The sequence below is a fragment of the Homo sapiens genome, chromosome 12, assembly GCF_000001405.40.
Source record: "Homo sapiens chromosome 12, GRCh38.p14 Primary Assembly".
NCBI lineage: Eukaryota > Metazoa > Chordata > Mammalia > Primates > Hominidae > Homo > Homo sapiens.
Window position 1 is genome coordinate 57,590,250 of NC_000012.12, and position 13,474 is coordinate 57,603,723.

The 13,474-nt window shown below is 47.2% G+C and overlaps 1 protein-coding gene across 8 annotated transcripts, besides 3 other annotated features; it reads left to right on the forward strand.

The window, feature by feature from the left end:
- Positions 551-600: an enhancer, noted in NCBI's record as "active region_6549". NCBI's record gives its function as "activates an Ori minimal core promoter by ATAC-STARR-seq in GM12878 lymphoblastoid cells {active_cell/tissue: GM12878}" and the evidence as "EXISTENCE:reporter gene assay evidence [ECO:0000049][PMID:35858748]".
- Positions 681-1,182: an enhancer, noted in NCBI's record as "H3K27ac hESC enhancer chr12:57984713-57985214 (GRCh37/hg19 assembly coordinates)". NCBI's record gives its function as "activates a minimal SCP1, AML or CMV promoter by ChIP-STARR-seq in primed H9 embryonic stem cells {active_cell/tissue: H9 hESC(primed)}" and the evidence as "EXISTENCE:reporter gene assay evidence [ECO:0000049][PMID:30033119]".
- Positions 781-1,040: a silencer, noted in NCBI's record as "silent region_4585". NCBI's record gives its function as "represses an Ori minimal core promoter by ATAC-STARR-seq in GM12878 lymphoblastoid cells {active_cell/tissue: GM12878}" and the evidence as "EXISTENCE:reporter gene assay evidence [ECO:0000049][PMID:35858748]".
- On the forward strand, positions 943-13,169 carry PIP4K2C (phosphatidylinositol-5-phosphate 4-kinase type 2 gamma). Of its 8 annotated transcripts, NM_001146258.2 has the most exons (11): positions 943-1,214; positions 3,776-3,873; positions 4,877-4,973; positions 5,639-5,782; positions 8,816-8,962; positions 9,151-9,189; positions 10,075-10,188; positions 10,562-10,829; positions 10,996-11,099; positions 11,277-11,387; positions 11,677-13,169. In NM_001146258.2, the coding sequence occupies exons 1-10, from the start codon at positions 1,041-1,043 to the stop codon at positions 11,355-11,357; spliced, it is 1,266 nt and encodes a 421-aa protein (NP_001139730.1). In that variant the 5' UTR covers positions 943-1,040; the 3' UTR covers positions 11,358-11,387; positions 11,677-13,169. The 8 variants fall into 8 exon arrangements, with proteins under 8 accessions (NP_001139730.1, NP_079055.3, NP_001139731.1 ...); NM_024779.5 differs by having other exon boundaries at positions 11,277-13,169; NM_001146259.2 differs by having other exon boundaries at positions 3,776-3,850; positions 4,908-4,973; positions 11,277-13,169.
- Positions 13,170-13,474: the final 305 nt, after the last annotated feature.

Consider the following 13,474-nt stretch of genomic DNA (forward strand, 5'->3'; position numbering starts at 1 on the left):
GCTGGGATTACAGGCTCACGCCACCACGCCCGGCTAATGCCCGGCTAATTTTTGTATTTTTGTAGAGACGAGGTTTCACCATGTTGGCCAGGCTGGTCTTGAACTCCCAACCTCAGGTGATCCTCCCGCCTCGGCCTCCCAAAGTGCTGGGATTACAGGCGTGAGTCACCGCGCCCGGCTTCGTTCTTTCTTGTCTCCATGTCTTTGTATGCTGTTCTCTTTGTCTAGACAGCCTTTTAACCTCTATTCCTGAACTCCACCCACCCTTCCAAACTCAGTAAAGTCTCTATCCTCTTTGAAGCCTTCCCTGACCAGCTACACTTCCTTTCTTTGTATCATTGTCTTTGCTTCATACACAGTTCTAGGATAGCTCATACTTTGCATACTGCAAACTTGATCTCCATTGGCCAGCCAGTGCCATTAGACTCCCAACTACTTCGGGGCAGTCACTGTCCTATACCCTGCTTCAATAAAAGGAAAATCAGCCCCTAGAACAGGACCTAGTACAACTAAGTGCACAATAAATACTTGTTAAATGAATGAATGAATTTCAAGACGCTTGAGACCACTGGTAAGAATTTTGGGTTTCCAAAACCCTCCCCTTCCCAACCCCCATTCGGTAAGAATGCTTTCGCATTAGCATCAGGTCCGAGGTTACTCATTAGAAACTGGGCAAAGCCGGAAGGCGGCCACTTTGCAGCAAAGAAGCCCTAGACCTTGGGAGTCAATCAGGCCAGCCCAGGCCGCACCACGGTCTCCTAGTTGACAGTTCGAGGGGCCTCGCGGGCCGCTTGCTTCGTCAGCTTACAGGGATCCCGCACGCCAGGTGAGCCCACACACTGAGCGGACATTGGGGCAGGCAGGCAGGCGCCGGGGGGCGGGGCCAGCGTCGCCCCGCCCCGTCCTGCCTCGCCCTGTTCGCGCGTCCGCTGTCCGGCCTCCGGTCACGTGACAGCAGCGCAGGTGAGCGCCGCTTCCGGGGTCGGGCGCCTGGATAGCTGCCGGCTCCGGCTTCCACTTGGTCGGTTGCGCGGGAGACTATGGCGTCCTCCTCGGTCCCACCAGCCACGGTATCGGCGGCGACAGCAGGCCCCGGCCCAGGTTTCGGCTTCGCCTCCAAGACCAAGAAGAAGCATTTCGTGCAGCAGAAGGTGAAGGTGTTCCGGGCGGCCGACCCGCTGGTGGGTGTGTTCCTGTGGGGCGTAGCCCACTCGGTGAGAACCAGCCCTAGACCCCCGCAGCCCTGTCCAAACCCCTCGGCTCCGAGGCGTCCCTGTTTCCAGGCTCCAGCCTCCGGAGCCCCACGCAGTGCCACTCCCCTCCCCCGGGTTGTCTTGGTCCCTGCCCACCAACCCCAGGTGTTCCCCCAGCAGGTTTTCTGACTGTGGACTTTTTTCTCCCCAACAGTTCTTTACTGCTCCACTCTAGTTCCACCTTCCCCCCGTGAAATCCAGCTCCCTGTGCTTTGACTCCTTCCTGCCATGTCTAGCTTCAGCCTCAGGCTACGCGGACTGGCCAGGACCGGGCGCAAGCGGGGAGGACATTAGGGGGAGTGGCTTTTTCTCGGGTGGTTGTTGGTGAGAGTGTAGGTGGAGGGTGAGGGGCCGAGGGGAGTAGATGGATGAAAAGGTTCTTTCACTTTGCTTTCCACCTTGCTTCCCAGCCCCGGTCCTTGGCTTTTGAATCTTGGTTTTGTCTCGGGGAAGCTCCAGGTTTCCTGGGCTTTCTAATCCTGCTTGTCCCTTCCTTTCCCTTCCAGAGGTACAGCATTTTAGAGAAGCTACCCCACCCTGAGCTAGAAGTTGCACACTCTCAGGACTTATGTATATATGCCTTTGGTCTTAACTGCATCCTTATCGCTGGCTAGAGCGATCGTGTTTGGTGTAGGTGGTGGCGATTGTTGACCAAAGAGAAGGCTGAGGGGCTCTGTTCCTGAGGTCACTATGGTGGTGAACTTTTGAAGCAGGAAACTGCTCTGGGAGTCAGGAGGAGGCCAAGGAGACCTCCATCCCCTTTCCTGAGGATACCTCAGCTGAAAGAAGCACAGCCATTGCCCATCTTCCGTCAGGTCTGGAGTGGGAGAAATGCAGTTATCTTGAATGTGACACGGAATATTTTCGAAATCAGCGTTCTTGAATATAGTCATGGCTAGGCTGTGGAGATGGAAGTTGTGAGGAAGAATACGCGTTTTGTCACATTTTTAATTTGTGGTAAAGAATTTCTTAACCAAAAATTAAGAATGTTGTTTGTGGCCAGTCGGATCTCTTTTGGATTTGTGGCTCTCTGGGTGGTAAGCTCTTAGTGAGTATTCAGTGGAAGGCACTTGGTATGGGGAAGGCTGATGGAGGTAGGGCTGCCTCTCATATGTACCTTCCAGGTGATTCATCCATTCCCTGTGGGATGCTTAACAGGGAGGGTTTTCCCTTGTTAAGGATTGGGGGAGTTACATGTAAGACCTACCTCAGCTTCACTAGGTATATATACTTTAGCCCCAGCACCCCACCCTCTGCCAACACACATCTACTTCAAGTGTTTGGAATGGAGAAATTCCTTGAACATATGTCTTAGTGATGATTCAGCTTGCTTAGCAGGTGGGGAGGAGGGGGCAGGAGGAGCTATAGCTGAATTTTAGGCTGGGAGTCTCAAGTGGCTTTTTTTTTTTTTTTAATCTGGAGGGATATGTTCTGTCCTCCTTTTCTACTGAGAACGGGAGGAGTTGGTTGCACTGCAGTGTGTGTGATTTAGGTTAGACTGCAGTTCATAGCCTCTGTGGAATGATCTAGTAAGGATAGGCAAGGCATTCATTTATTCAATTAATAGACATGTCAGGATCACTGTGTGCCAAACATTGTGCTAGTTAGACACCTGAAAGATGCAGACGACTAGAATGAGCCCTTGTTCTTGAAGAGCTCACAATCTAGATGGGAGAACTTACATAAACTAGTGATTAGAGTCATGCAGTAACAAAGGCAGGTGAAAGGTACTGTAGCAACACCAAGGAGAAAGCACGGCTCAGGATTTTTAAGTACTAGAGCTCCCTTTCTACCCTGAATTAGCAGACTGCAGATCCTGGGGGCCGAGGAGAGCATGTGATGCTTGTGTCCTTTGGGCTGTGGATTAGTTTGGCTTTAGGGAACAGACGCCTAATGAGCTCATATCCTCTGATTGCCTGCATTCGCTCTGAAATCAGCTGCTCTTCCTTTACCTTACACCTTAGACAGGTGGGGGCCTACTGCAAACAACTGGGTCAGAGTGGTCTAGGAAGACTGGTCCTGTTTGCAAAGAGATGCCTTTTGCAGGATATGGACATTTATCCTTTTTGCTGTGGTTGGCCCCACAGAATCCCATTAACACTCTTGTGCATTTTTAAAATGCCTTTTTTTTTCTTTTTCTAATGGAACATGTAGCTGCCTTGAGCTTGCAGAGTTTTTTTTTTTTTTTTTTTTTTTTTTTTTTTTCTAGAATTTCTCACAGCTTTAAAAATAGTCCTGAGTTGCTTACAGGGTTAGCCTAATATAAAATGACTGTTGTGAGCATGAAGTTCCATGGGGGTGGGCGTGTTGGGGGCTGTGTGTGAGGGTTGCTTACTGTAGTCCTTCTTGGGCAGCAGAAGGGTTAGACACATTCTCTCACTTCTGTCAAGCATATGCATAGCCAGTGTTTTTAAAGGAATGAGGTCTGAGTGGCCCTTGCATGACTGCTGCCCAGACACAGTGTATGGGTAGCTCTCCACACCCTTCTTCATGGCTTCCCTATTCATGGTTTGGCTTATCAGATCAATGAGCTCAGCCAGGTGCCTCCCCCGGTGATGCTGCTGCCAGATGACTTTAAGGCCAGCTCCAAGATCAAGGTCAACAATCACCTTTTCCACAGGTAAGTGATGATCCTTGCCATTCTCATGTCAACCTTCCCAGAAAGGAGTAATAAATAATTTTAAAAGTTTCAGTGAGTTGAAAATTTAACATCCTTCCCAAATGCAGAAATTAGTTTTGTGCAAGGAAACCATGAGAATAATTTCTGGTGTTCCCTATATCCTTATATGAATCAGTGTTATCTCTCCTCTAGCCTGGCAATTCCATAGAGTAAATATGTACAGATACCATTACCTGCTCTTTCTCTCTTTTTCTGCTTGTGACCTTGGAGATGCCATGAGAACCATTAGCTTCTGACAGGGACTCCTTGAAAGAAAAACTTGAATTCTCTACTAAGCCCTCCTAGGAAAAGAAGATGCCATTCAAAACAGTGGTGTCTGTTGCTGACTTTAGAATGCTTCTGACTTGCTTGAGATTTGGGAAATGCTGCTGTTTGGATGGGTAGTAGATCCTGGCTCTACTATACCACTTACCAACCATGTTACTTAGGCAGGTCACTGAATCACTCTGAGACAGTCTCCTCTTCTATAAAATGGAAATAATATGTTTTTATAGGACCTCACAAGGGCCAGGCGTGGTGGCTCATGCCTGTAATCCCAGCAGTTTGGGAGGCCAAGGCGGGTGGATCACTTGAGGTCAGGAGTTCGAGACCAGCCTGCAAACATGGCAAAACCCTATCTCTACTAAAAATACAAAAAATTAGCCAGGCATGGTGGCGCATGCCTGTAGTCCCAGCTACTTGGGAGGCTGAGGCAGGAGAATTGCTTGAACCCGGGGGATGGAGGTTGTGGTGAGCCGAGATTGCACCACTGCAGTCCAACCTGGCAACAGAGTGAGACTCTGTCTCAAAAAATAATAATAACAAATAAAAATTAAAAAAAAAGGACCTCACAGGGTTTTATGAGAATCAAATGAGGTAATATGTCTGAAGGTACTTTATAAACTACCAAGTGTATGTAAATGTAATATTGTTTGTTTTCTTACTTTGAAAACCTGAATTTCAGGGAAAATCTGCCCAGTCATTTCAAGTTCAAGGAGTATTGTCCCCAGGTCTTCAGGAACCTCCGTGATCGATTTGGCATTGATGACCAAGATTACTTGGTGAGAGTCCATTAAGGGGTGAGGGTAGCCCTTTCTCCCCAGCAACTGAGGAGTACTATTTGGGACAGCCATATTTGGAGAAATGAGAGTCTTGGCAAATATAATTCTTTACCTTTTTGTGATTGCAGCATTTTCAAAAATTTAATGAAAATTATAAACCTTGTCCTTGGGGGAAAAGATGTAGATACATTAAGAATTTTGGCCAGGCGCTGTGGCTCACGCCTGTAATCCCAACACTTTGGGAGGCCGAGGCGGGCAGATCACCTGAGGTCAGGAGTTCGAGACCATCCTGGCCAACATGGCAAAACCCTGTCTCTACTAAAGATATGAAAATTAGCCAGGTGTGGTGGCGCACGTCTAGTCCCCGCTACTTGGGAGGCTGAGGCAGGAGAATCACCTGAACTTGGGAGGCGAAGGTTGCAATGAGCTGAGATCGTACCACTACACTCCAGCCTGGGTGACAGAGCGAGACTCCTTGTCAAAAAAAAAAAAAAAAAAGAATTTTGCATTCAGTTTCCTTCAGTCCACATATGGACACCTGATGAGGAACTGTGCTGAATCTCCTACCCCAGGGATTCATCCACTTTCAGCTGACCATTTTCCTATGACTTGTTTCTGCATATAAAGAGGGAGGAAAAGAGCTCTGGCCTATTCTGTGTCCCCAGGTGTCCCTTACCCGAAACCCCCCCAGCGAAAGTGAAGGCAGTGATGGTCGCTTCCTTATCTCCTACGATCGGACTCTGGTCATCAAAGAAGTATCCAGTGAGGACATTGCTGACATGCATAGCAACCTCTCCAACTATCACCAGGTCAGGCCTCTCTCTAGCCCCATTCTTTCCCTCTCCTCCCTACTCACATATAGCTCAGCTATTGTCAGTAATAGATGCCAACTGGGGAGAAAACTCATTGGAAGAGAGAATCCATAATCATATCCAGCCCTAAATGGGATGAGGGAAGCTATTCTGTCTGATAAGATTTACAGGCTGGGGGCAGTGGCTCACACCTGTAGTCCCAGCACTTTGGGAGGCTGAGGCGGGAGGATCACCTGAGGTCGGGAGTTCGAGACCAGTCTGACCAACATGGAGAAACCCCGTCTCTACTAAAAGTACAAAATTAGCTGGGCATGATGGCTCATGCCTGTAATCCCAGCTGCTCAGGAGGCTAACGCAGGAGAATCACTTGAACCCGGGAAGCGGAGGTTGTAGTGAGCCGAGATCGTGCATTTGCACTTCAGCCTGGGCAACAAGAGCAAAACTCCGCCTAAAAAAAAAAAAAAAGATTAAAAAAAAAAAGATTTACTTGGAATGTGGAGTTTATGGAATGTTTTGGCAGTAAAAACACTCTTCTTGAACATCTCTACTGAAGAAAAATTTCACCAAAATCAGTGAGCAAGGAATACATCAGAGTCCAAAAGGAGTCTTTGGTTTATGCAACAAATATTGAATACCTCTTATTAGGCCCTATGTTAGGCAGTAGAGTAGGAGGTAAATGAAACATCTGTGGCCCTTACAGATCCCTTGGTCTGATGGCAGTGACCAGTGACCCAGTATTAGCACACCGCAAGATATATACAATAGTAGAAGTCTGTACAGAATATTCTGAAGCTAGTGAAGAGCATCCGAACTCACCTGGGGAAGGAAATGCACCTGGGAGGCTAAAGAGAGTTTTTTAGAGGAGATACTGTAAGAGTTGATCCTTGAAGGACTAGTAGAGGTTAACCATTGGACAGGGTGGAAGAGCATTCTAGGCAAAGGAAAACAGCACTTGTAAGGCACAGAGCCATGAGAGAACTTGGTGTTAGAAAACAGCAAGAAATTCCATTTGGATGGGATGTAGTACTGTGGAAATAGGCAGGAGCCAGATTGTAAAGAGGCTTATAAGCCCCACAAAGAAGTTTGGACTTTATCCTGAAGGTGGTTTTGCAAGGGGCGTGATATATTTGTTATTTAGAAATATTTAGAAAATGTGACAGCGTTTTAGAGAATGGATTGGTGGGAGGGAACACTGGAAGGGTGGATACCAGTTAGGAGGTAATTTTAATAGTCCAGGGTAGAAACAATGAAGGCCTGGGGGAGCGATGGTGGTGGGGATAGAAAGGAAGACCTATGGGAGAACTGAGAGTTAAGACACAGGGGCCTCCAAGTTCCTGGTTAGGGATAACTGGGTGCCTATTCACCAGAAATTAGAAACAGAGGAACAGGTTTTTGGAGGAAGAAAGTTCTGATTTGGACATACTGAATTTGAGGTTTCTGCAATTCATCCAGATGAGGATGTCCAGTAAGTGGTTGGGGTATGTGTACAGAATTCAGGAAAGAGGATTAGACTGGGAGTATAGGTTTGAGAATTATATGTGAGTAAGTGATCATTAAAACCATGGCTATAGATACGATTATTGTAGGGAGGTTGTGTGCAGTGAAATGAAAAGAAGGTTGAGGACAGAACCTAAAGGAACAAGTGAAGAAATGAGCCCATAAAGGAAACTAAGAGTAGATGGACACTTTTAATTATTTATGCCATGCTACATTCCATACGGGATTCGACGACAGAGAGGAGGGGAATCAGGAGGGTGGTATAATAAGAGCTGAGGATGAGGAGACTTTTAAGGAGAGACTGGTCAATAGGATCAAGTGCCACAAAGCTGAAATATGACAATGACTAGAATACTTACTAGATTTGACAACTGAGGGATATGGGGGAGATTTCAGAGGAGAAATGAGGTATAAACCTGATTTCAGTGATTCAACGTGTGAATGAGAGACAGGAAATGGATTTCTTGCTGATTACTTTCCTGAGAAGGTTGGCTGTGAAGAGAAAGAGGCAGCAACACAGAAAGAGAGATGGTAAGCACTGAAGGAGTAATTTTTGTTTTTTAGAGACAGGATCTCACTGTGTTCCCCGGGCTGGTCTCAAACTCCTGGGCTCAAGCGATCCTCCTGCCTCAACCTCCCAAGTAGCTGGGATTACAGGTGTGAGCCTGGCTTAACAGGAGAATTTTTAAAAAAGAATCCAAATTGTAGGCCGGGTGCAGTGGCTCACGCTTGTAATCCTAGCACTTTGGGAGGCCGAGGTGGGCAGATTGCCTGAGTTCAGGAGTTCGAGACCAGCCTGGGTAACACAGTGAAACCCCGCTTCTACTAAAATACAAAAAATTAGCTGAGCGTGGTGGTGTGCGCCTGTACTCCCAGCTACTCGGGAGGCTGAGGCAGGAGAATTGCTTGAACCTGGGAGGAGGCGGGGGTTACAGTGAGCCTAGATTGTGCCACTGCACTTCAGCCTGGGCAACAGAGTGAGACTCCATCTCCAAAAAAAAAAAAAAAAAAAATCCAAATTGTAGGCCATCATGCAGACTTTTTTTTTTTTTTAGGTATAAAAATCTGTATTTATATTACAGTGACAGAATGACACAGCACAGCCCAACCCAATGCAGACATTTTAAATTATGGGAATCTAGCCTATGAAGAAACACTGCTCTAGATAAAATGATTTCATTGATAAGATATAAGTTGTAATCCTGGTTCTGTGCCACTTGCATATAGAAAGGGTCTAAAATAAGGATAATAACACTTAACCTTCCTCATCTCAAAGAATGATAAAGGTGAATTGAGAGATGACACTTAAAAATTAAGAGATGTACAAATGGAAGGAATCAGAGGAAAGGGGGATTCAGAAACGGCATGGATAACCTGGAGTGTTTTGGGGAAGCTTCCACCACTTTTGACTTTGTAATCTCTCTACTTGAAGTCCTCTGCTCTACCCTGGAATGGCAGTGTTTGAACTTCCCTGGGCTGTTTGTGTATCTGCTACTCAGCCTCTCCCCATTCCTTCCCCCTCTTTCACTGTAGTACATTGTGAAGTGCCATGGCAACACGCTTCTGCCCCAGTTCCTGGGGATGTACCGAGTCAGTGTGGACAACGAAGACAGCTACATGCTTGTGATGCGCAATATGTTTAGCCACCGTCTTCCTGTGCACAGGAAGTATGACCTCAAGGTAAGAAGAGGGTAGCTCGGACTTAGAGGGAGGCTCCTGATAGCCTGAGAATGGGGAAGACCCTGGGAGGTCTTTGGATGATTCCTTTTAAGGGAAAGAAGGCTGGGTTTGAGTACTCATCTTAGGGGCTGGGTTCTGACTGTTCTTTTAGCCACTTCTACTGACTTGGTGTTTGGGTCTTTCTGCAGGGTTCCCTAGTGTCCCGGGAAGCCAGCGATAAGGAAAAGGTGATAGTAATTTTATGTGCTAGGGTGAGGGATGAGGGATGAGGGAGGGCAGATGAGGGGAACTTCTTAGGATGGAGAGGCCACTCTATATAGGAATAGGGATTACTAGCTATTTATTATCTTAAACCACTTAAAAGAAGGGGGTAAACTTCTGTTGATCCGGGGATTGTTTGGAAGGGGCAGTGGGAGCAGCTGCTTTAACACTGGCATGGGTTATTCCATATGGAAGGCTTGGGGATGGGTGAGGTTGCCAGACTTGAAGAGCAAAGTGTTTAACTTCCACTTCCCATTCTGGGTTATTTTATTCAAGCAGCTACTTTTGCTTAAGAAGACACAGGCCGGGCATGGTGGCTTATGCATGTAATCCCAGCACTTTAGAAGGCCAAGGCAGGACTGCTTGAGCCCAGGAGTTCCAGACCAGCCTGAGCAACGTAATCTCTACCAAAAACACAAAAATTAGCCGGGCGTGGTGGCACGCGCCTGTAGTCCCAGCTACTTGGGAGGCTGAGGTGGGAGAATCACTTGAGTCCAGGAGGTCGCGGCTACAGTGAGCTGAGATCACACCACTTACATTCCAGCCTGGGCAACAGAGTGATCGAGATCCTATCTCAAAAAAAAAAAAAAAAAAAAAGAGGAGAAAGAAAAGTCAGCCTGGAGGGTCTTGGCTAAAAACCATAAGCAGAGAGTAGTGGGATGTGATTTGGGATACAGCTGTAGTGACTGAGTCTGTGGAAGTCACTGGAGGTGAGAACAGACCAGGGAAGCATCACAGTGTGGAGTTAGATGAGATCTAACTGAGCTAGCATAGAGCCCTAGACAGAAGGTGGGGTTCTGAGACCTTGGGGAAGGGATATGTTCCCAAGATGTCCCTTTACATATTCTTAGGTTAAAGAATTGCCCACCCTTAAGGATATGGACTTTCTCAACAAGAACCAGAAAGTATATATTGGTGAAGAGGAGAAGAAAATATTTCTGGAGAAGCTGAAGAGAGATGTGGAGGTGATGATTGGGTGCTCTGGGAAATGGCTTTCCTTTTTTTGCTCCCTAGAGGGTAGTTGTCTCTTTCATTCACGGTATGAGGGAGCTCCTCCCCTTCCCTTTATTCTTCAGGTCCTCTGCCTATATGGGGGTTTAGTATGAGACATGAAAAACCCCTGGAGCTGACCCGTGGAAGGGGTGGCTGGAATAAGCTAAAAGGATGATCTTAGATACTAGGACATATAGGCACTAAAGGCAGTGGTATGCCCTGCAACCTCAATTTTTATACTTCCTTTCCCCAGAAGGGCCCCAGAAATTCAAAGGTACAGGTACAGGGGTGATACCTAGCAGTGAAGAGTGAGAGAGAGGTGTCTGATTTGTCAGTGGGTCTCAGTTTCTAGTGCAGCTGAAGATCATGGACTACAGCCTTCTGCTAGGCATCCACGACATCATTCGGGGCTCTGAACCAGAGGAGGAAGCGCCCGTGCGGGAGGATGAGTCAGAGGTGGATGGGGACTGCAGCCTGACTGGACCTCCTGCTCTGGTGGGCTCCTATGGCACCTCCCCAGAGGGTATCGGAGGCTACATCCATTCCCATCGGCCCCTGGGCCCAGGAGAGTTTGAGTCCTTCATTGATGTCTATGCCATCCGGAGTGCTGAAGGTGAGAGAACCGGGACAATTTAAGGGTGGAGAGGGGATTTTTCCTGGAGGACAGAGACCAGAGTGCTGGGGGAGAGCCTGATTAGCTTTTCAGAACAAAACTGACTGCTTCCTGGAGAAAGGGAATTGGAACTAAACCTACTCTGAATTGTTGGTCTCTCTCCCAGGAGCCCCCCAGAAGGAGGTCTACTTCATGGGCCTCATTGATATCCTTACACAGTATGATGCTAAGAAGAAAGCAGCTCATGCAGCCAAAACTGTCAAGCATGGGGTGAGAGTTCGCAAAAGCCTTTCCTTTCCTGTCTTGACTATTCTTTGGGAATAGAGTCTCTTGTGCCAGAGCAATGGGGTGGCAAAAGAATGGAGGTGGTCTGGGGTAGATTGGGTGGGGGTGATGGGGACGGGTGCTAGGGTGGCCTGACATATTGTTCCGTATCTCCTCTCACAGGCTGGGGCAGAGATCTCTACTGTCCATCCGGAGCAGTATGCTAAGCGATTCCTGGATTTTATTACCAACATCTTTGCCTAAGAGACTGCCTGGTTCTCTCTGATGTTCAAGGTGGTGGGGTTCTGAGACACTTGGGGGAATTGTGGGGATATTCTAGCCACCAGTTCTCTTCTTCCTTTGCTAAATTCAGGCTGCAGGCTCCTTCCATCCAGATAACTCCATCCTGTCGAGTAGGCTCTTTCTGACCCTCAGAAATACATTGTCCTTTTTCCTCTTTGCCCATTTTTCTTCCCTCTCTTCCTCCCCATGAGAAGTCTGCTTGTAGTATTAGAATGTTATTGTTGACTCTCTCCCAAGTGCCTTGATCTTTGTAATATCTCCTGTTGTTTCTATGATATAGGAGCTAGGGGAAGGGGGTTGTTTGCCTTCTTCAGGACCTGACTGGACAGATGGACCTGGCTCAAGCAACTACTCTGGATGCACTTTGCTGTGTGGGATGAACTAAAAGTGTCTGAATTTTGCTGATAACTTTATAAAACTCACTATGGCATGCTTCCCTCCTGGTGGGCCCTAGGATGGATGACACTCAAGATACTACAGATGTGGGTGCAGGCATGCACACACACGATGGAATATGGCCATTCCTACACAGGTGGGGTAGAGAGTGGGTCAGCAGCCTGGCACCTCACAGAGGTGGGACCTAAGAGGACTCATGATTATGCAGAGAATTGGATTGGGTCTCTGTCATAGATTGAGTAATCTCTTCCCTTACCTCAATTCCATCTCCACCCATCTCTACATCTGGGCACAGCAACCCAGAGATGGCCAAAAGCATTCAAGCCTGGGGGAAGATGTTTGACTATTGCTGCTCTTCACCAGAACCTCACACCTCTCCTGGGACTGGAACCCTTCAGTGGGTGTGTGGCCAGTTTTGGAGGCTGGAATGATGGGCCAGGGTGTAGGATTCATTCTCCATGTAAAGTTTCCTTTCATCCTGCCTAGCCATCCCCAAGGTTTATTTCCAGAAGAAAGGAATATCTCTACTTGGATCAATTCTGGTCATTTCAAGAGGATGGAGGCCTCAAGTGTGGGAACTTCCCCTACTCCCTGGATGTGTGTACCTAGCACACTTCCTTCTCCCACCCCTTTTTCCAGTTGGATTTGTTTTTCTGTTCTCTTCTGTCCTGTCTTATACTGCAACTGTGTCTCCTAGGGGACAGATGGCCTTCTTTGTCATCTTCACTCTCCACCCCCAGAGAGGAGTCAGAGCCATAACTCAATCACTCAGCCCCTCCAAAGATAGTTGATGTGTGATAATCTCATAATGTTGAGAACCCTGATGAGATACATTGTCTTCCTCTCCCTACAATGCCTCTGGGGCCAAGGCACCCATTCTTCTTGCTATCCTCCATCCCCCTTGAGGCTTCCACTTTTTTTTTTTTTAGACATAAAGCTGGGCATCAGCAACTGGCCTGTGGTGATGCAAAGCTGCTTTGCTCTGTATCTGGCTGGACTGATCTGTCTCACAAGAAGCCATGAGGCCATAGGGAGAAGCTCCCTCTCCCCTTCATCTTCTGCTCCAAAGGTGGTAGCAAGAGGAGTACCCAGTTAGGGGTTGGAGCCCCCATATAACATCTTCCTGTCAGAAGACTGATGGATCTTTTTCATTCCAACCATCTCCCTTTCCCCCGATGAATGCAATAAAACTCTGTGACACCAGCAACCATTGCTCTTTAGAAATGGGTTTTCTGATCATATGGCTGATGTGTTATGGGCAGTATGGATGTCTTCATTTGTTGCTTCTGTTTTTCATCTTTTTTGTTTTATTAATAAAAATTTATGTATTTGCTCCTGTTACTATAATAATACAGGGAATAAATTATTCAATCCAAATTTCTGTACAGAAATGCCTTTTTTTTTTTTTTTTTAAATTTCACTTCTCTCAGGGAGCCTGTGTTTAAGGGTGCAGAGACCAGCTGAAGAATTCTGGTGTTCAAGGTGTTGGGCCCCTAACTAAGGATGTGGGTTTCTAGACAGATGGCTGTGAACTTTTTTAAAAAGGCTGTGAAGGGTGTGCACGGGAATGGAAAACTTAGTCTTTAACCTTGTGGGAGGTCAGCGGTAGTGAGGGCCAGGGAAGAGTAGGGTGATGGGACCCTTCCTCTTCCCAGAGTTCTGGGCTTGCTAACACTCCATCT

Bases quoted from the DNA above. Each gene is read 5' to 3' on its own strand.
- PIP4K2C (NM_024779.5), top strand. From the start codon at position 1,041: ATGGCGTCCTCCTCGGTCCCACCAGCCACGGTATCGGCGGCGACAGCA. The intron at 10,189-10,561 runs GTGATGATTGGG...AGTGGGTCTCAG, and splicing joins AGCTGAAGAGAGATGTGGAG to TTTCTAGTGCAGCTGAAGAT. The intron at 11,100-11,276 runs GTGAGAGTTCGC...CTCCTCTCACAG, and splicing joins CCAAAACTGTCAAGCATGGG to GCTGGGGCAGAGATCTCTAC.